The sequence below is a fragment of the Homo sapiens genome, chromosome 10 (assembly GCF_000001405.40).
Source record: "Homo sapiens chromosome 10, GRCh38.p14 Primary Assembly".
NCBI lineage: Eukaryota > Metazoa > Chordata > Mammalia > Primates > Hominidae > Homo > Homo sapiens.
In genome coordinates, this window is record NC_000010.11 from 69,857,192 (window position 1) to 69,878,598 (window position 21,407).

A 21,407-nucleotide genomic window follows, 5' to 3' on the forward strand; every position below is an offset into this window, starting at 1 on the left:
CCCCAACCTGGAAGCGACAGGGGCCCACGGAAGTAAGAAAATGTGCAATTTGTCCCAACAGTTCAAAGCTGATGGCTTAAATCTGTACTATTTCACTCAAAAGGTCACCCAGCCCTGTCCAGCCTGCTCTGCTTAGCTCAGCTCACCCTGAGCCCTGCGTGGGTTCCAGGATTTTAAGGGCTCATCTGAGAGGCAGGGCAACAGCGTGATTAAGGGCCTGGTACTGGTTCAGAGCAAGCGAAGTGTCCTCTGAATTGACAGCTGCTCCCCCACTGCTCACATTATGACCTGAGCTCTGCTCCCCATCAGATCAGTGGTGGCATTAGATCTTCACAGGAGTGAGAACACTATTGTGAACTGTGCATGTGAGGGATCTACGTTGCACACTCCTTATGGGCCAAGGCGGAACAGTTTTATCCTGAACCCATCCCTCCCACCCCGAAAAATTGTCTTCTAGGAAACCAGTCCCTGGTGCCAAAAAGGTTAGGGACTGCTGCCCTAGAATCAGCCTGCCCCTCACCAGCTTGGGATGCAAGGCAGGAGGTGCTGCCTCTCTCTGTCTCAGCCTCCTGAAGTCCACCTTAAAAGGCTTATAAGGGTTAAACATGGTAATACCTGTGAAGCATTAAGACTGGCGCCTGGTTGGCTGGGCGCGGTGGCTCGTGCCTGTAATCCCAGCACTTTGGGAAGCCAAGGCAGGCAGATCACGAGGTCAGGAGTTCGAGACCAGCCTGGCCAATATGGTGAAACCCTGTCTCTACTAAAAATACAAAAAATAGCCAGGCATGGTGGCGCATGCCTGTAGTCCCAGCTACTCAAGAGGCTGAGGTAGAAGAATTGCTTGAACCCGGGAGGCAGAGGTTGCAGTGAGCCGAGATCGTGCCACTGCACTCCAGCCTGGGTGACAGAGCGAGACTCCGTCTCAAAAAAAAAAAAAAAAAAAAGATTGGTGCCTGGCACATGAGAAGAGCTCTTATTAGCCATTCTTCTGGTTAGAACACAGTGGGCAGTATCATATGCTTCTGGGATTGGATGCCATTATTTCTGACTTCATAACCATAACAATTGTCATAGCTATATTTATTGAGTGCTTACTCTAAGCCAGGGACAGTGCTAAATATCTTACTTGTATTCTCTCATTTACCACCCAAATCCAGTGAGGTAGATACTCTTATTACCCCCATTTTATAGAGGATACTGGGCTCAGAGAGGTTAAGCAGCTTGCCCAAGGTCACACAGCTAGTAAGTAGTAAAGTAGAAATTTGAACCTGTGGCTGTTTGGCTCCAAAGCCTATGCTCTTGTCCAGGATTCTGGGCAGTTCCCCATTCCTTCTAAGTAAAAGGAAGAACAGTGAAACTACGACACTGTGTGCATGTGTCTAGTTGAAGTTCCTCCTAAGATGGGCAGTGTCTGGATGGAGTTCGTGATCAGTCCTCACTGGGGGACTCTGGGAGCCAACTTCAGGCAAGAGACGAGCATGGTCTGAACTTAGCCCAGGAATGAGGCCACATGGTCCTCAAAGGAACTTGGAAGGGCTCATTGAAGGTTTTCATTCTCAGCAGTCTAACCATCTCCCCCCACCACTAAGTCTTGTTGACTCTTAATTTGCTTTTGCAGCTGAAGCAATAAATGTAAAGGTTAAGAAAGAAAGCTTTAGGGTGTAGCTGATTCCAAAGGCTCTGCCAATTTACCAGCTGTGTGACATTGGACAAATTACTTAACTTCTCTGCACAGCCACAAGAGCCCCACCTGCAAAACGGCGCATAATAGTACCGAGACTGCCTGTCAGGGCAGTTAGATGATGCATGTCTTTGGGGCTAAGGGCATGCCTGGATTTCAGTTGTACGACTATGGGCCAGAACTTTGACCTCTCTGTGGCTCAGTTTCCTCCACTGTTAGGTGTGGACAATAGCACACCTTGTATAGTTACCTTATGGGGCTACTGTGAAGAGGAAATGATATGTGTAAGGTGCTTGGCGCTGGTAAGAGGTTAGCATGATGCCAGACCAAAATGGGTTATTAATATTAGGTTGATGCAAAAGTAATTGCGGGTTTTGCCATTCCTTTTAATGGCAAAAACCACAATTACTTTTGTACCAACATAATAAATGTGACTTTAAAATCAAAAAGCTCATCATTCAGAGATACAGGCCTGGTTGTCAAAGCAAGACCTATGAAGCCTGCAGCCCCTCCCAGGCCTCTGAGGGGTGGCATTCGACATGAGTCTGACCTGAGCTGTGACCCTTCCCCAGCCCCTCTTCTCTGCTCCTCCGGCAGTCGCCGGGCAGGGCACTGGCCAGCAGAGCCATGATGTGACGTTTGAGCTTCCCCAGGCAGGGCCTTGCACAGGAACACTGGCGAGATCCGGTGTCAGGAAGAAGTCCCAGGTCATAGGTGTGATGCCCAGAGACTTGTCTTCCTTCAGGGACCTGAGTGACCCCTCAATGGAAGAAAGCAGCCCTGGCTTGGGACTCAAGGGCTGGGGCTGGAGGTCAAGGGTCTCGTCAGGACCACTTGCCCCTCCCAGTCCAGTCGCAGGTCACAAGGCCCAGAGCCACAGGCAGGGGAGCTGCCCAGAGGGCTGCAGCCGGAGGAGACTGGAGTTTGGGAATTCTGTGCGAGCTTCCAGACAGCACATTTCCTTTCTGCATCTCAGTCCCTCACTCAGAAAATGGGGCTGCTGACTCCTACTCCAGCCTTTCAGGGCTGTTTTGTGGCTCAAATGGGAAAAGGTAAAACAAAGCCCTGAGAAGGAAGAAGGACTGAATGTCAGCCACAGAGTGCCCCCAGACAGGAGCTTGCTTCTGAGTAGAGACCAACGTGGGGCCAGCCTCACCCCAGGACCAGCGGGACACCCACCTCTAAGCTGGACGGAAGGCAGAGTCAGGGGGTCTGTACCTGGTGGGCAGCGTGGGGGCTGCAGTCTCACTCTGGGGTTCCCGGCCTCAGTCTGCAGGAAGCAGTAGACGCAGTGACCAGCAGATGAGCCCTGCTCCAGGGAAAAGCTGCCACAGCCCCCAGCCTCAGGACGAAGTGTCAGGGTACTTGGATGGGGCGGTCTCCTGAGCTAGAAAAGAAGCCCTCAAGGTCAGGGACAGCGGGTGACCTTTACAGCCTTCTGCACAGCAGCCATGCATAGCTGGTGTTGAGCAGGTGTTGAAAGCGGGCATGAGGGAGACACAGCTCCAGTGTGCCAAGATACAATCTTCTTTACCCCCTCATACCGCACTGAGCCGTGCTTCCAAGCACCTGCCTTCTGCTGAAGAATGAGAAAAATAATTCTGAGGAACTCAGCCACTTCCTGCTCAACCCTTAGCCTTTCAGGTTCTCATCAGCTGTCGAGACACCATTTCCCTCTCTCCCTTTCATTCACCCAGAATTACAGCTGGGTGGGGGAGGGGCACGGGGGTGGCCTGGCGCCATCTTCTGTCGGGTTGTCGTTCCTCTTGCCAGGGGCTGGGCATCACCCTCCATCCCCCTGGGCAGAACCTGCAGCCAGGTCCCCCATGCCCTCCTTGCCTGTGGCCTTCTGCGGCCATTTTCCTGAGCCCCAGGCTGCTATCCCCCATTCCAAGGGATGTGGGACTCTGGCATCAAGGGAGCTGCAGGGATGGTAAGGGGATCTCCTGTCCCTCTGCCTGCTCAAACTGTCTCACCAGAGCCATCTCCACGAGGGCTCCAGGCCCCAGGCATATACCCTTACCCATTGCTAGCTAGGCTGGCGAACGGCTTCCCTGGAAACACAGGACTGCATCGGGAAGGAGAGGAGGCTGGAGGAACTTTAAGGTTTTGTTGGGAGGAGAAAGGGAGAATGGACGCAGAGGAGGTAACCAAGAAAGTCTGCTACTTAGGCACACCCTCCTGCGTCCACAGAGAGGAGTAACCCCGGCTGCTGGGCATCTGAGCCTCCCCCGTCCCACCAGCCCTCAGGCACTTGCCAAACAATGCAAGGAGCAAGGAAGTGAAGGGGGCACCTCCAGATTGAAAGCAGGGGTTAGCCAAGGGCAGAGTGTCAAGAAGCCCCTGGAGCCAGACCAAGTGCCCCGCCAGGCTGCCAGGTGTGAAGTCCACTTCCATGGAGTTTACAGGAAGGTGGCCACTCAGGTTGCTGTCAGGTGGCTCCAGGGGTGGCAGTGGCATAGCTAGTAGTATGGAGTCCTCTGGGGACCTCCTGGGGCCAGGGCATGAACTAAGCTGGAGGGGATCTTACTGGCTCCTGTCCCTTCCTTGCTCGTACATTCCAGTCTCTCTGCCAACCTTAACAGCTGAATGGGGATGGGATAGAGAGCTGCAATCAATGCTAGTCCCCATGCCTGGTATGAGATGTGTCTGGGGAGTCCAGGACACCCAGCCTCTCCACCTCCGTCTCTGCCACTCCCCAAGGCTAGACTCAGTCCTGCCTGATTAGTTAGAAAAGGGTCCTCCTGCTTCGTCTACTTGCTTCCCCTGAGTCTCACCTCCAGGTGGCTCTAGTTTCCAGGATGACTAATAGGTTCCATATCATGTGCCAATTTCTGCTGATTGATAGTGGCTGTGTTGCAAAGAATTGTGAAACCTTGTCTAGGCTCATTAAGGAGCTGTGATTGATTATCAGTGTCAGCCATGAGTGCAGGCACAGAGACTGTAGGTGTGTGTGATTTAAACTGCTGCCCACTTCTCCCAGGACCTGTTATACCCCATCAACCTGGGCTGGAAAGGTCTGGGGGTGTCTTGTGGCCGAGAGATGTCATCATAGGACAGATGTGAGCTGTGGCGTGCTGGCAAACGCTTAAGAAGTGGCTCTTGGGGTAAGGTGGGGCTGCTTTGTAGCTTTTGCCAATTTCTGTGGTGTGAATACTCCCACCATGGCCAATTTCCAGCTGCCAGTGTGAAGTCACTGGGCGCCAAGTTAGGAAGAGATGCCCACAGTTGGCTCTTGCAAGACTGCACAAGTTGGCTCTGAGTAGTCAGACATTTTTCCTAAGAAATGTAAAGCTTCTCAAAGCTTTGCTAATGGTGGGCTGTTCTGTGAATAGCACTAGACCAGGATTCAGGATCATTTACCAGCCATGAATAATAGGCAAGTTGCACCCTTCTCAGAGCCTCAGTTTTCTCATCTATAAAATGGGAGTTGGGTTGTGGTGAACTGTGATATAAGGAAGTGCTTTATCAGTCACAAAGCATGATTTGTCAACCATGCTCCCGGGACATCAAATAAATTCAGTTGGTCTACCCAGAAATCTGCCTCAGGCTTCCCTAGAAACTCAGGGTTTGGGCCATAGGGCTGTACGTGACAGGGCTTGAGTGTTCTCTTTGAAGTTAACCCCAGAAGACACAGGCTGCCTTAAAGCTCACCGGTGTCCCTTCACAGGCCAGTGAAGGGACTGCCTTAAAGCTCACCAGTGTCCCTTCACAAATTGCTTTTCATGGTTTTTAAAGTTACTCATGTTTCCCTTCTTCACTGCTCTTTGAGGCAGAGGCTGTTCCTTTTATTTCTCCATGTGCCTCCTTCAAGCTTCGGGGGCCCATGGTCCCGGGAGGCAGGCAGACCTGGGGCCAAGTACCAGCCCAGTGATGCATGTGTTCTGCAGCCTTGAACGCACCATAAACTCTCTGGGCCTCAGGTTTTTCATCTGTAGAGTGGGAACAATAACCAACAATACTTCACTGGGTCATTGGGCAGACCGAGTGAAATAAGGGTCTTAGCATAGCGTCAGGCACAGAGTACATACTCTGTAGATGAATAACAGACAAATTACTATTTGTCCGAATGAGGTCTTGGGTGGAGGTGGAACAGGCCAAACTGTAGAAGAATGGGATCCCAAGAGTTGGCAAACCACAGGTCGGTGAGGCCTGGGCCACGGGTAAGGGCGTGCGTCCTAGGGACTGAGGCACGGGAGGAGCCCCGAGGCAGGTCTGGTGCCATTAGTCCAGCATGGGGTTTCTCATCCTTAGCACGATTCACACGTGGACTAGATGAGTCTCTGTGGCAGGAGGCTCTGTGCATTGTCTTTTCAGCAGCATCCCTGGCCCGTACCCACTACAGACCAGTAGAAACTTCCCAGTCGTGAAATCAAAATGTCTCCAGACATTGTCAACTATCCTCTGGGGAGCCAAATTCCCCCGAGCTGAGAACCCCTGCTCCAGCAGGCAGAGTGTAACCAATATCATTAGTCACCCAAGGTCTGAGGGGAGCCCGTGATGCACAGCACCTGTCCTGGCAGAGATGGGTGGGTCGGGCATGTGGCAGAGCTGGTGGCAGGTGGTCAGCTGCAGGCACCAGGAGGCATGGGTGGGGGCTAGGACCCCAGCTTCTAGGAGCCCAGCGGTCAAGCAGGGTCAGAAGATGGTTCAGATGACACTGAACTTGGGAGCACCCTGCCACTCTTGATGCCCCCTGTCCAGGACCAGGACTGGATCCAGCGACTGGGTGGCACCAAGTCCAGGGTCGAGGGGGAGGGGACTTACCTGACCACTTTAGAAGGGGCTGAGGGCCCAGCCGCCCCTTCCACCCCTGAGAACTTCATGACCTCCAGCCAGGAGAACACAGGCTTTGCAGCAAGAGAGACCAAATTCAAATCCAGGCCCTACCATATGGAAATAAAAGTTAAACAATCAACTTAAGCCAGGCATGGTGACTCATGTGTATAATCCCAGCACTTTGGGAGCCCGAGGCAGGCAGATAGCTTGAGCTCAGGAGTTTGAGACCAGCCTGGGCAACATAGTGAAACTCCATCCTTACAAAAAATACAGAAATTAGCCAGGTGTGGTGTGTGGTCTCAGCTACTCGGGAGGCTGAGGTGGGAAGATTGCCTGAGCCCAGGGAGGCTGAGGCTGTAGTGAGCCGTGATTGCACCACTGTACTCCAGCCTGGGCAACGGAGTGAGATACTATCTCAAAAAATAATAATAAATTAAATTAAATTAAATTAAAATTTTTTAACCTTAAGAATCAGATGCCATCATCTAAGAGCAAGGTGACCACCTTAGGCAGGTTGCTTAACCTCTAAGCCTCAGGTTCCAAGTCTATGGAAGGGGTGATAATGCCAACTTCACAAGGTTGTTATAAAGACAAAGTGCGGTGTTATAGTTACCATGCTTAGCACTGTGTCTATGTCTGCCGCATAATGAGCACTCAGTAAATGTCGATTGAATGAATGAAGGAATGAAAAAATGAATCCTCCTACAGCAAACCTTTCTCCCTTAAACCCTCATGTTTGTTTTAGTTCTCATCACTGGAATTTCTCCAGCTTTCTAACATAGGAAACTGTTGGCTTCTCAGCGGGAGGAAATGAGTTATTCATCTCTGTATCATCAGAGCTTTGCATCAGGCCTGGTAGATAATAAATGCTTAAAAAAATGAAGTTTTCCTTCCTCAGAGGACAATGAGTATACTTTATTCATCTTTAGAGAGCCACAGCCCAGCACAGTGACTCACACAGTAGGCATTGTTAAGTGTTTGTTGAATGAACGAACATACAAAAAGTGGTTGAAAAAGGGCACGACCCAGAATGCTACCCCAGAATTCTTCATGGGGGTCCATCCCTATGTGTCCATTTTGGGGAAGCATGGCCGCCTTGCTCGGAAGAGGTGGGTCAAACCCCGGCGGAGAACGGTAGTGGCCTCAGCAGGAAGCTGAGGCAGTGCGTGACAGACATCAGCAGGGAGGTCTCAGGCAGAATGTCCCCACCCTGGATGGCTGTTGTGACCCTCTCCTGACAGCCCTGCTTGCGGGCTGCTTAGCCCACCTGAGGGGGCTGGGACAATCTTCATAGTTCTCCCTGCTGCAAGAAACAGGTTCCTCCTGAGGAAGCAGCAGGTGCATGGGCGGAGTCCAGGTGTCTTCCTCCTCTCTCAAAATGTGGTAGTACGGGCAGTACCTCAGCAGGATCAGCATGAGATATGGTGTGCTCTGTTAGGAAGACCCCAGGATGGGGAGTCAGGAGACTGAATGCCGGTCTCACCGCCATCACCTGCCCACAACATGGCCCTGGATGGTCATGAATCTCCCTGGGCCTCTCTCTCTCCATCTGTACTGTGGGGACTTGGTAATGCCTTGGAGTGACTCCATCCTTTGGTGCCTGGCCAGGGTAATGGGCACAGCCAAGTGGCCCACATGGGAGAGCAACTAGTGACATCAAGGCACTGCTAGATTTTGCAAAGCCATCAGCTCCCCAGCATCTTAGAGCTGCCAGGCATTGAACACAGCATCAGGGGAAGCATCTGCTTGGAAACCCAGGGCTGTCCCAATGCAGGCCTGTTTGATGAAAATTGGCAGGGGCAGGACGGGAGTTGGGTTTTCCAAGGCACCTGAAGATTTTCCAGTGGGTCTCATGAAGACCATCCCTAACAGGGGAAAAAAGGTGTGTGAGAGAGAAAGTCTTCTTTTATAGCACCTGTATAGCTCTTCCCCTTCTATGGCACAGCATTAGCTCACAAAGAGGATTTTCCTGTTTCTGAAATCCCTGTAGGGGACAGGTATGGGTAGTGGCAGCCTGGCTGAGCTTGGAAGAGCCAAATTCCCTTGCATAAGACAAAGGTGCCTGTAAAAGACAGATGAGAGGGTTGAGTCTAGAGAAGGGGGCTGGAGGCTGACCATAACAGGCATCCCAGGGGCAGGTCTGGAGAGGACTTGGTCTGCAGGCAATTGCAGGGTGGGGGGTAGGTTGCTTTCTGAATGAGAGACAGAGAGAGAGGCACTGTAGAGAAGGGTCCAGAGCTCTACCATTTACTAGCTGCATGGCCCTGGGGAGTCGCTCAACCTTCCCATGCCTCAGTTTCTTCATCCGCAAGGCGGGAATGATAGAACCTATTGCATAATGGAAAACCCCTCGAATTGTGCCTGGCACCTAATAAGGACCATAGAGGTGTATGCAGTGACAATGGTGGTGGCAGTGGTGGTGATGTAAAAACCCTCAAAATCTTCAGTAGAATTTATATCCTCCAGGGGTGCACCCAGCAAACTGCTCCTCCTGCTACCCAGCTGAGCCTTGAGTCTTGTGCCAGCTACCTGGCTGCATCTGGTGACACCTATGCAGCCGAGAGTGCTAACAACAGGCCGGGCTGCCCTCAGAGCTCCAGTCTGTGTCACTGGGGACATCTCAGAGCTCTAGCCTGTGTCACTGGGGGCATCACCAGAGCCTGCCACAGTGGGAGCCAGGGCCCCGTCAGGCCTGGCAGGCGCAAGGCATCTGCCCTCCATGTGGCTGAAGCATCCCAAAATTGCCACAGGCTGAATTTTGTCACCAGCCTGCTTCTCATGCAGAGGACATCTCCCCCAGCCAGGAGGCACAGATTTCCCAGCTAAGCTGGCCCCTCTGGCAGGCTGCGCTCAGGGGATATTTTCAGATTCTGGGTGACATTCCTCTGCCACTCAGCCTAATGGCTCCCAGATGCTCCCCCTGCTCTGTGCTCCCTCCCGCTTGTTCTGGGCCCTGCATGCAAGGCCCGGGCCTGGGGCTTGCTCACCCAGGCTCTACACCTCTTGACTTTTTCTGTTGCTTTTAATCTAAAACACTGTGTTCCTCCTTAACGTGATGGCTTGACAGAGGCCAGCATGAAAGAGGCTGTTTCCTCCTGGATGGTGACCAGGGCAGAGAAGCCGACAGATAAAGGAGGAGAGAAGGAAGCCGGCTCTGGGAATGGGAGGAGCACGGGGAAACATAGGAGCCTTTATTGGCCGAGCATAAAAGAAGCAACAGGAGTCGCAGCTGAGTTAACGTGGCCAGGGCACTAGGGGCCGGGCAGACACACCAGGCCCAGCTGGGAATCACCGGGAGGGTGGGGTTTCGTGGCTCATGTTCCGCAGAAGCGCCTTTCCTTCCCTATCTTTCTGGGACTGCTTTTCTAAACCTTCCCTCCCGCTCCCCACCCCTATTCCTTTTTTCTCCCTCTCGGAACACTTGAATTTGTCATTCTTGGCTGTTGCCAGTAATGAGATAGGGCTGCTGCTGCGGCCGTGGGAGGGAGGTGGGGAGTGGACACCAGAAAGAGAAAGGAACAGAGAGAGGCATGGAGGAGGGTGGGGCCGGAGCCCGAGAGGGGGCTTTGAGAAAGAGGCTGTGGGTGGCAGACCCTGGAGGGGTGAAGTGCCTAACTCACTGCTAAACAGAAACCAGGACGGGCCAATGGGCCTCAGGCAGGGTGCACAGTGGCCATCCACGCCCGCCCCTGCCTGCCTGCTGGCCCTCCCTGACGTGCACAGTGAGGACACGGGCATGCTAACGGTCCTCATCTCTACGGGATCTGTTATTTCCGCCTTTCTCAGTGTGCCTCGCTGCCCACTGTCCCGTGTTCTGCAAAGCAGCCTTGTACACAAGTTCAGGCAGGTCCCGTAGAGCCCGTTTTGTGGGGTGGGAAACTGAGGCAGAAGGGCCACCGGCAGGTCCCCAGCAGGGCTGAGCCTGGGGCCTAGACCTCTGGATTTCTCATCCAATTATGAAAATATGGAGATGAAATAAAGGGGGAAGAGATTATATTGGTGAAAGTAGGCCAGGAAAAGACAAACTTCGAAGACCAGATGGAAACCCCTCCGCTGATGAATCCTTGGACACTGCTTCCAAGGCGGCCTCCCCACCGCCCCCTACAGCAATGACACTGACCCAGGCATTTTCTCTCTCTCTTTCAGGACCTCCTGTAAGTACTCAAGCCGAGGGTCTCGTGCATCTGAAAGGCCTGTGTCACCTGCTGGTAACGGGGTTCTGGGTGGGGGCACTGAAAGCTGGGCCCCTGCTGTCTTGTTGGGGGCCTATGCAGGCTCCTGAGGGGTCCCTCCAGAATGCCTCTTGTGGGGAGGAGGCTACCATTTTGCTTTTCACCCACTTCTGCACCCCTCCAGGGCAAGACAATGGCTGCCCCCAGGGCAAAGCAGGCCCCAAATTTCAATATGAAAGAGTGGCTTTCCCTCTAATTAGCTCAGTTCCTTTGTCCCCAAAGAAGCTATTGGAGTCAAAAAAAAAAAAAAAAAAAAGCACCAGGTATTAGAAGAAAAGAAATCATCTCTCCTCAGTTCTGCCCCTTGAAAGGTCCCAGAAAACAGGTCATCGAGCTGGCTGCAAGCATGGTCTGCTCCAGGGGACTCACATCCACACCCCTGAGTGGGGCAGCTCCATTCTGGCCACTTTGGGCAGGTGGTGGTGGTGGCGGCGGCAATGGTTATGTAAGAGAGAGCGGTGTCAGCCGGTTAGACTGGGAGACAGCACATAAATTATAGGCATCATGCCGCACTCCTTCCTGGCCTTGCTAGGAAGCCCAGGGTGGGGCAGGGAGTGGAGCCACTTCCAGAGAACCTGAGAAGAGCCCAAGGAGACTGCCTCCCTCAAGTAATGGATCCAGAGAACAGGAGCACCTGCCTTTGATATCCCAACAAAAGACCAGAGGGCGCTGGGGGAGCTGGAGATAGGAATTGAAAGGGCCCAGCCCTCGCATCAGATCTTTCTCAAGGTTGCTGAAATCAACCCTATCATCATCCCTTCCTTGGAGAAGTCATTTCCATAGTTGTTTTCCTCTTGATGTGTACCTGTGGGAGCCGCCTGCTTCATTTTTAGTAAAGGCCATTATCGAAGACTCCATTTGTGCCCTGAAAGGCCCTTGCACCCACACTGAGGATCCCATGGCCCCTGACACATCACAGTGAGGCAGGACCTGTCATGTCATTACTTGAAAGGAAGGATAATGTATTATGGCACGTTTGGTGTGTCAGATCTTAATTCCTATCATCCATCTTCCAAAATAAACTCTGCCATATAGAGCTTTCACCTGTGGGAAATGTGCTGCTTTTCCCTGTCTCATTCTGAGGAAGCCACAAGAGCCCTCAACTGCCCCCACCCTGCCTTGGGGCCTCCTGCACACACCTCACCCCCAGGGGCAGGATGCTGCAGCCTCCTGCACACACCTCACCCCCAGGGCCAGGATGCCAGGACAGCTCTGAGTCCCTGCCTGACTTGAGGGTCCTTTCCTCAGTAGGAATTTTGCATTCTGAGAGCTTGTGCTGGCCCGACCCAGGGACTGTTCCCAGACCCCTTTGGGTCTGTGCTGAAGGAGCCCATGAGGTGGAGGGGATGAGTCTTCACTCAGTCTCTGCCCACAGAGTGAAGAAGAAAGGCCCAGGTAGCTTTCCCCACATTCTGAGCCCAGCTCAGAAGAGGAGCCCTGAACCTTTGCCCAGTGCTGGCTGAAACCACAAGGCAGGAGGAGGAGGAAATGGGAAGCTGGCCAGGGCAGGAATCACCTCCTCAGCCCTGTTATCTCTGCTTCCTGCAAAAGAAGAATGCTGGTGGCCAGAGAGAGGGGCTCTGAGATGCCTGTCTGATGCCGTCTGGGTGTATCCTGGGGGCTGGCTCTGTCCTCCAACAGGAAGACCCAGATTTCTGCGGGCACAAGGTCGGCCAGTGCCTGAAGAACATAACTGTGCAGGATGGATTAAAGCTGCAGCAGGAACCATTTAGGTGGAAGTAAATTTTCAGCTACCACTGCCCCACCCATCATGCCCCTGGCAGACATTGCTAATCAATTAGGAGGCTTTTTAACATAATGCATTAGTCAGTTACTCCCAATCCATTGGCATCAGTGCTCAAGCTGACATCTATTGGCCATCCCTGGATTCAATTTAAGGGAGAATTTCCTAATACTGGGAACTATGAGACTGAAAACAGATGACCAAGGGAAGTAGGGATGTATCTTTCTCTGAAGGAATATAGGGAAATATTTGCCAGCAGCTGCCAGGCCTTGCTGAATATGATCCTTGCTGAAATAGTAGCTAACACTTACTGTGTGTTAGACACTGTTATGTTTTTATGGAGGCAGTGTAACATAGTGATTATGAGCATGGGCTCTGGGGCCAGACCAACTGCAATCAAATCCTGGCACTGCCACTTTTTGCTGTGTAACCTTAGCAAGTCACTTAACCTCTCTCTGCCTCAGTCCCCTCATCTGTAAAATTAGAACAGTAATGGTGTCTGCTTCATATGGATGTTGTAAGGTATATGTGTGTATGTGTGTGTACTGTATATATATATTTTTTTTACTTAGGATATATTAATTCATTTAATCCTAAAAGCATAAGGCTTCCCTAGATGATGCCCAAAGGTGTTTTGCAAACCTTTAATTTTTTTTTCTTTTTTAGAAAAGAAAAGAAAAAACTTTTTTGGGTGAGAGAGTGAGAGGCAGGGTCTCACTCTCTCACCCAGGCTGGGGAGCAGTGGTGCGATCAAAGCTCACTGAAGCCTCAATCTCATGGGCTCAAGTGGCCCTCCTGCCTCAGCCTCCCAAGTAGCTAGGACTACAGGCGTATGCCCCCACACCTGGCTAATTTTTTTAATTTTTTTTTTTTTTTAGAGACGGGGTTTTGCTATATTGCCCAGGCTGGTCATGAACTCCTGACCTCAAGCCATCCTCCTGCCTCAGTCTCCCAAGTGGCTGGGTAAACCTTACATTTTAAGGAAGAAATTATGATTTTGTGCATTTTTATTAATGAATTTTATTGTTTTATTTATTTCTACCCCATCTCATTCCAAGAAACATTTTAGGGGGATTGACAAGCTACATAAGGAAACAGAAGGTGAGGGGTGGAGAACAGAGGCAGGAAAGCAAAGGGAATCCGGAGCCATGGCACTGCAACATCCTGTGCACATGAGCCACACACTTGGCTCTGAGCTTCTCGGTGGTCAGAGCAAAGAGGAAAACAGAGCTTTGGCAAGGGTCGGGCTGCAGTGAGGTAGGAGCACGCCTGATGCTTGGGCGAAGCACAGTTTTTCCTGAGAATGGGGCCTGAAATAAGTTTCCCTCATGTGTCCTCGTAAGGGTGGCACGATGTGGATGATGTCGGTTGTAAGGACACAGTAAGCAAATTGCCCCTTCTGTTCCTATTCAGAGTAGACCCACTGCATGAGGTTGGACCCTCCTCACCCTGGCGCGTTCCCTTCCCTGGGATGGGAGGTCACTACCCCACTTCTCAGCCCACTCTGTGACATTAGGGGACAGGAAGTTTAGAAGCAAGAGGAAGAGGGCATTGGTTGAGCACTAAAGCTCTGGTTTAAGGGACGCAGTGCCTGGGCTGTCCTTGTGGGGGCCTGGGAAAGCAGGAGTGTTGCCAGGTTCCTGGTATCCGCAGGCAGATTCATTCATTCGTAAATGTGTCTTGAGGATTACTGAGAGGTCCACATTGCTGAGGCACTGGGGACACATTCGTGAATGAAACAGGAAAGTCCCTACCTCAGGAGCTCACATTTTAGTGCTATGGGGCAAAACCAACAACACGGCGGGATGGCAACTAGTCCTGTCCCCATGAACGCTGTAGCCCCACATTCCCCAAGGACTCCCCACCGACTGGTGGGTGTCACTGCACCACCATTGACGGGATGTCCTCAGGAACAAACGTTAGAAGGGTTGACTTACTCCTGGTGCTGCCTGAACTTTTCTCAGCAGCCCTGCAGGGATGGACTTGTCTCCCAGGGAACACCCCAAGACCTACTCCTGGTTCTGCCTTTGGTTTATGGGAACAGTGGGATGTCTGGAAGGAGAGAAACTGTATGTGACAGCAGGGTCTCTGGAGGGAGAAACCAAGGCCAGCCCCATGCCCGTCTCTGGCCAGTCCTCCTCTCTTCTAATAATCATAGTAATAGCTGCATTTATTTAGGATTTGCTATATGCCAGCCGCTGTGCTCAGTGCTTTACATACATTCTCTCATTTGATCCTAACAGATAGGTAATGATTATTCTTCCATTTTCAAGATGAAAACACTGAGGCACAGAGAGACCAAGATACTTGCTAAAGGTTACCCAAGTAGTAAGTGGCAGAGCCAAGAGGTGAACACAGGTGGGCTTTCTTCAGAGCCAGAACTGGAAGGAAGCTTTATAAGCCTTAGCGATCAAGGCTCCCCCTTCGTTTTGTTCATAAAATAACAAAGGCTTACCCAAGTGGCATGCCAAGGTCACACAGCTGGTTGAGACAGTGTTCAACAGTTAGGTGTTACGATACCTGCCTGACCTACGTAAACGTCACTCTTCATTTCAGGGTCCCACTGGAAGACCCGGACTCCCAGTAAGTCACTTTTGTTTCTTCTTTCCTTTGCATCTCTTTTACGTGCTTTTCTCAGTCTGAGGACTGGCTAGGTTGGGTGGCTGGTTTTTCTCCAGGTGTATCTGGGTGACAGGCCACTCTCCAGAGTCCCTGATCTATAGCTTAGGGTGAAGTCACCTCAGCTCCTTCCTCCTTTGAGATCTAGAGAGGACCCTGCTGGGGCATCTTTAGCTACAGCCCTTGGTGTGCCTTTGCCCCAGGCAGACAAATTACAGCATGCAGATCCTTCCAAAGCTGCAGCTGACTTCCAGACTGATGACCCTACCATGAGCAGCTGCAGGGATGGGCAGCCCACTGGCACACTGACTATCCCCCTGCATACCAGCTGACATTCAAACCACTGTTCCTCCTATGCCTGCTGATAAGAGAGCGGACTCAAAAACTTTGTTTTCTCTCAATTACCACGTCCCAATTCTAGAGAGGCTGTGCCAAGTAACCATGGGGACTCTGGGACAAAAAATATAGCCATCTCTTATTGAAACCGTAAGAAGAGCCAGGTACTGCATTTATCATGTTTCACACATTCAGCTTGTTCAATACCTCAGTGAAATGGGTATGATTATAAACCTGTTTTATACATGAGAGTCAGGAAGGTAAAATAGTTTGTCCATCTGTCCAAGCTTCAGGTGGGGACCTGTTAGAGGCCCGTATCATCACACACCATTCCATACTGCTGTTGCTTGTGGTCTGTGCTCCACCTTCAAAACCCACCTTTAAAGTCTTTTAAGACTTTGCTCTGTGGAGTCTAGCCTGGGGCATGGATGAGTTGAGTAGTGGGTATGTGTACCGGGTATGTGTACCATGGGCCCTCAGATGTGGAGTGACCCAGGTAAGATGCTGCAGCCGGTCAGGGGGCCGGAATCGGGTATGGAGAGCACCCTGGCCTGAGGCTGGCACCAGTCTGCCCTGTCTCCCTGTACCAAAGGCCACATCCATGAGATTCCAGACCCTTACGTTCCTCCCTCTTACCTAATGACTCCCCTTTTAGACATGGATTATACTGTAACCTTTGGACTAATCCAACAGCTTCTAAAATTCATGCCTAGCAGTGGCTTTCTTAATGAAATGCATGTGGGGGAATGTTCAGACTTGCAAATGGAAACTCTCCCAGTAAGAGCCCCAGCACAAAGGAGGACGGGTGAATCGGTCCCATGAAATCCAAGGAGGGGAAACATCAGATGACCGAGGGGAATGTGGGCAGACTTTGTTTCTTTCTTACAACATCCACCTTTAAAAAGCATTTAGGGGGCAATTGACAGAGCAAGGGCTGCTGCACATAGTTTCCAGTCCCTGGCCATTCCACACCCATCCCTAACCCAAGCATTTTATGGCCAGGACTGCAAAGAGCATTAGTTTTAAAAAAGAAATGAAAAAGAAACCAAAACACACATCCTGAAATATCATTCAAAAGCCCAAGAGTGAGTGGACCGTGGGGCTGCCACAGCCGACCACCCGCCCTGGCCTGGGGTCCTTCGCAGGCAGAGCCAATTTCGGATCCACGGGTCATGGTCTTGTTGATGCTTCCGTGTGAAGGGTCCTAGGAGTAACACTCAAAAAGACTGTGGATGTGAGCCCCTGGTGTACAAAGCAAAAGGTGTGGAGTACAAACATGCTGATGAAATTCACCTGCCCACAGCTGTGCTAGGCTTTACACAAGCAGATGCCATTTATTCAACATCAAAGGCCAGGCACTGGCCACATGCTTCTCAGAGACAGCATCATGTGGCATCCTCCCAGCAACTCCATGAGAAAGAAGCTCTTATCACCCCCACTCCACAGAACTGATGCTCAGAAAGGTTAAGGGAAGAGTCAGTGCTTCTAATCTGCACAGCTACCCTGCCATTCTTTAGCAAAAGTGAAACATTTTACTCAAAGCCACCGTTGGTCTTGACCTTATGTGTTAATTTTAAGAGCCTAATTTCAGAAATAATTGCTTCTCTCTGGTGTGCCCCACATACATGGTGGATGCTCATTGTTCCTCAAGGCATTGTGCCTCAGTGGGGTTAGCAGACGCAGAGTCACCCGAGAAATGCCCATGCAGTCCCCTCCTGTCCAGCAGGCTGGACAAACCACCTGATTCTCCGCACCCTATTGCTTTCCATCCTTCCAGGCTCCCAGCAAACTCTAGGCCCCACCCCAGGTTTTATGATGTCTGCATGCATATGATGGCAAAAAAATATTTTCTACCAAAAGGGGGAGGAACAAAACTTAATAAGCAGATTTCCAGAGTGAGATGTAACCCCTGGCTACAAAACAAAGCATTTCCCTTGGAGCATCTGCAACTCGTGATTCGGCTGAATCCACATGGCTCGTGGTCCTTCCTGTCAGTACTGGAGGTGGCCGAGAGGAGGGAGGAGTGGAGAAAGACTCCAGAGGTTGCTTTCTCAAACCAGGGGCTGGGGAGGAGCACTGCTCTCCAGCTCTGGCAGAGACAGACCGAGGAAAGTGATTCACCCATCTGTCACATGGGAGCTGCCAGTCACCCTGCTCTGTGCCTTGAAGTTGCGTTTGATAAAGATGAGGCACATCCTGGCCATGGCTGGAATTGATGCAACAGTGAAGTCTAAGGGAGCAAGGGCCTTGGAAAGGCATAGGGAAACTGAGGCCCAGGCTGGGACCAGACTCCTCCTTCCATGCTCTTTCCACAACACTCATGCCTAAGTACACATAGCCATAGCAGTGGCTGCTTGCTGAATAGTCCTTGGGAGCTGCATAGGGAGTGTACCTACATGATGCTTGGGCATCATACGGGATGTCGTCCCCGCTGCAAACTGGGTTAGCTGTGCCCTAAATCAGGTGCACAGTTTGCCTATAGGGTCCTTCACATGCTAGCCTGGTTCCAACCACATCTGACTGTTTCTGCCTCCTTCATCATCAGGGGGACAAAGGTGCCATTGGGATGCCTGGACGTGTGGTGAGTTGGCCCGTTTGTACCTGCTCAGGTGGCCATTGCTTGCTTCTCCGTGCTGGCCTGTCCTCTAAACCATGGCAATGTGCTGTCTATCCCAGGCCCAAGGAGGGGGTCAGCACTTTCCCTTCCCCAAGCCCCAGTGTGCTTTAGGGAGGGAGAAGAAAGGAGAAGGGAAGTTGTATTCCAGTCCTTCAGACCTCACAGTATGGCACTACTCTCCAGAGAGCTGCCACAGCAAAGGAAAAACCTAATAAAGTTGCATGAACAAAGCCCTTTGCCAGTCACCTGCTGGGAACGGCAGGAACAAACTGAGCCTCGACATTGGGAGGACTGCCACTCCGCCCCCCAAAGCTGGCAGCTCACCCTTAGATTCACAGCTGCTCCTGCAACCACCCCTCGGTGGAGCCAGGGTTCCCAGGGGCCTTCTCTGTAGACAGAGATGCACTAAGAGATGGTGAAGACAGGGCTTGGTCCCAGGTGGCACCTCCAAGTCCTCACGAGGAGGCTGAGAGTTAAAACATTCCTGTTTCTTGCAGGAAAGTGAAGATAGAGAAGGGGAGATGAGAACGTTTGATGGAGAGGGTGTTTCCCAGAAATGGGAAGGCCAGCCTCAGCCCCTGAGTGTCTACAAAGGGCTATAAAGGCAGTAGTCTAAGGCAGTGATGGCCATGCCCCACCCTCACCACTCCCCAGCCTGGGCTAGGACAGTGGCCTCAGCCACTCTCCCCATGTGACTCCTAACTTCCCATCAACCTCTGCCTCACCTGGCTCCCCAGGACCCCTGACCACCCCCATGTCATTCTCAGCTTTGCCTCAGAATCTCATGGGATTGGCTGTAGGAGTGGGTGTAGCATCCTTGTGTGAATTTGCTTGCCTGGTGTGAGTCTGCCGGTGCTCAGAGGTTGAGAAAAGGCATCCAAATGATAGCTGACCCTTGCTAGTGCTAACTGCTTGCTGGCGTTGTGCTAAGAGCCTTATGTTAGCTTACTCAGACTTCACAAGAACTGCATGAGGTAGACATGGTTTCCACCCCTACTCTTCCGATGAGAAAACCAAGGCTCAGAAGCTAACTGTCCTTCCCAAGGTCGCACAGTCAGGAAGTGGCTGAGCAGAAATCTGAACTCAGACAGCCCAACTCCAAACCTGCGCTCTTGATCCTGACAATATTACTACTCCCCACTAACCACCCACCCCCACTGGCCTTGCAGCTCTGAGGAGGGTCTGATCCTTAGAATGAAGCCCCAGAGGCCTGGGATATTTCAGAGTTCAGGACAAGTGTTCCATGTCACAGAGCTTTGCTCTCCCCAGCGCCCACCTAAGGCCTGTCTATGGAGGCATGCAGGCTGGGAGCCCTGGGCCGCCCCACGAGAAGCTCTCCCACCACTTCCCAGAGCAGAGCACAGTGGAATTGCTGCCCGGCCCTGTCTGTTTTCTTCCGTTCTCTAACTCCAGATCCTGAGTCCTCCCAAGCCGTCACAGGCTCTGTACAGAGCAGGGAAACGTGATTCAACCATCCTTTCCCAAGGGCCTGCGCATGTGGACCTGAGCCAGTCACCTGCGTCACCATAGCCCTCTGAGCCCCTGTCTTCCAAATGAAGATGTTGAGACTCACTGCACCCAAAATAGGGTGGAGTTGGGTTTTGTGCCCAAGCCAACTGTGGGACCCCAAAGTCCCTGCTCCCAGGGAAGCTTCAGGAGCCTCTCCCCTGAGTGCAGAGACAGGCCCACAGGGAAGGCTGCAAAATGCAAAGTGGCAGCTCTGGGCCTTCCCGTCCTGTCCGTCCTGTCCTCCTTCTTGGGCCCTGTGGACACCTCCTCCCAGGAAGTGTCCACACTTCCCTCCCATAGCAGTGGGGGTAGAAGGAGGGGAGCTGCAGGAGGTCTCCCTACTTCCTTCTTAGCAGGTCTATTTTCAAGCTACTCTGGCTGCTGGTGCTATTTTAAATGAGACAATGGGCCCATTTGGCTGCCCATTAGGGGTCCTGGCATGAGCCACCTGATAAGCAGTGAGGTGGCCAGTAGGTGTGACATGCCTGGGTCATCCCTGGGGTTGACCAGAAGTGGCCCCACTGGCCTGTCCAGAGCAGGGTGGATTGGGACTGTCCATCTACTGGTCACTGTTGTTACAAGGGACCCTTGGCCGCCTAACCAGCCTCCTCTGCATCACTGACCTGTGCTCCGTTCTTCCAGAGGTGTGTGTCCTGCCTTCTGGCCTCCTGTGATTCTCCACGCCCCCTCCCTCCACCTTGCCCGGCCAGGTCCAAGGACTCCAGGCTTGTCTAGCTTGGCAAAGCTTTGTTCTTGGTGTTCAGCTGGACCTGCAAACCTCCTAGACACCAGCATCACAACACAGTCCTGGGGCAATTCCCCCGATCCCCACCCCAACCTCAGAGTGTCCTGGCCAGCTGGGGCCATGGCTTCTGGGGAGGATTTCCTGACTTAGGTGGGATCTTGTTCTCTTTTCTCTATCTCTGTCTCTCTCCCATTGTCTGGCTTTCTCTCTCTCTCTCTCTGTCTCTCTCTCTCTCTCTCTCTCTCTCACACACACACACACACACACACACACACACACACACACACACACACGTACGTGCCTCAAGAGGGCCTCTTACGGCCCCAGCCACTGTTTCTCAGTTATCTGGAGCAGCTGCACATTGCAGCAGCGCCTTCCACATGCCACATGCTGTGCTTGTTGGACGTGGACCTGCCATGTGTCGACATCTGTGTTTTGCTTTGTTTCTTATTTCACAGTGATTTCTTCTGTTTGGTTGTTGTGCTATGAACATGGATTCTCGTGTGGGTGCCTCTTTCTCATCCCCTCTTTTTTCTCTCCCCTCCTTTCCCTTCCTGCACCCTGTGTTGCATGTGGCTGCCCCAGGGAGTAAAGGGCCAACCAGGCGAGAAGGTGAGTCCACACTTTCCCCTTCTGCCCTGCACCCAGCCTCCTCCTCCAGGTGGACTCTTGATGGGAGGCTCTCAGCCCTCCCCCCCATGAAAGCCGCAGCAGAGGGTGCTGGCTGGGCCTGCTGCCCTCACTGCCTCTCACGGCCCCGTTTCCTAACAGCTTCCATAACATCGGGCAGCAGTCTTGGGATTCCTGGGCGGCGGTCCCAGCTTTCCCAGCTGAGGAGGTCTTCCCTGCCTTGCCCTGCCCTGACAGCATGAGGCCTCATCGCTCTGGCCAATCGCTATTTTGTGTAGCTGGAACTGCCCAGGGGGACCCCCGAGGCTATGGAATAGAGCCCCCCTGGGAAGTCAGAAATCCAGAAGCCATCCTGGAACATCAGCCCTGGGGGGTTCTTGAGAGATTTCTGAGAGCAACACTTCTTTTTTTTTTTTGAGATTGAGTCTCGCTCTGTCACCCAGGCTGGAGCGCAGTGGCGAGATCTCGGCTCACTGCAACCTCCGTCTCCTGGGTTCAAGCAATTCTCCTACCTC

At 52.1% G+C, this 21,407-nt stretch overlaps 1 protein-coding gene across 43 annotated transcripts in view, besides 4 other annotated features; it reads left to right on the plus strand.

The window, feature by feature from the left end:
• The window catches only part of COL13A1 (collagen type XIII alpha 1 chain), a 157,239-nt gene that overhangs the window by 55,286 nt on the left and 80,546 nt on the right, over window positions 1-21,407 (plus strand). For 22 of the 43 annotated variants that reach the window (XM_047424600.1, NM_001368882.1, XM_011539294.4 and 19 more), the window contains exons 3-6: window positions 10,607-10,614; window positions 14,993-15,019; window positions 17,937-17,972; window positions 20,848-20,874. In XM_047424600.1, coding sequence (XP_047280556.1) covers window positions 10,607-10,614; window positions 14,993-15,019; window positions 17,937-17,972; window positions 20,848-20,874 — 98 coding nt within the window. The remainder of the gene's footprint in view (window positions 1-10,606; window positions 10,615-14,992; window positions 15,020-17,936; window positions 17,973-20,847; window positions 20,875-21,407) is intronic. The other 21 variants (NM_001368895.1, XM_047424611.1, XM_047424614.1 and 18 more) reach the window with 4 other exon arrangements.
• Window positions 3,360-4,065: an enhancer, noted in NCBI's record as "H3K27ac-H3K4me1 hESC enhancer chr10:71620307-71621012 (GRCh37/hg19 assembly coordinates)". NCBI's record gives its function as "activates a minimal SCP1, AML or CMV promoter by ChIP-STARR-seq in naive H9 embryonic stem cells {active_cell/tissue: H9 hESC(naive)}" and the evidence as "EXISTENCE:reporter gene assay evidence [ECO:0000049][PMID:30033119]".
• Window positions 9,666-10,649: an enhancer, noted in NCBI's record as "OCT4-NANOG-H3K27ac-H3K4me1 hESC enhancer chr10:71626613-71627596 (GRCh37/hg19 assembly coordinates)". NCBI's record gives its function as "activates a minimal SCP1, AML or CMV promoter by ChIP-STARR-seq in naive H9 embryonic stem cells {active_cell/tissue: H9 hESC(naive)}" and the evidence as "EXISTENCE:reporter gene assay evidence [ECO:0000049][PMID:30033119]".
• Window positions 10,650-11,633: an enhancer, noted in NCBI's record as "OCT4-NANOG-H3K27ac-H3K4me1 hESC enhancer chr10:71627597-71628580 (GRCh37/hg19 assembly coordinates)". NCBI's record gives its function as "activates a minimal SCP1, AML or CMV promoter by ChIP-STARR-seq in naive and primed H9 embryonic stem cells {active_cell/tissue: H9 hESC(naive and primed)}" and the evidence as "EXISTENCE:reporter gene assay evidence [ECO:0000049][PMID:30033119]".
• Window positions 16,218-16,997: an enhancer, noted in NCBI's record as "H3K4me1 hESC enhancer chr10:71633165-71633944 (GRCh37/hg19 assembly coordinates)". NCBI's record gives its function as "activates a minimal SCP1, AML or CMV promoter by ChIP-STARR-seq in naive H9 embryonic stem cells {active_cell/tissue: H9 hESC(naive)}" and the evidence as "EXISTENCE:reporter gene assay evidence [ECO:0000049][PMID:30033119]".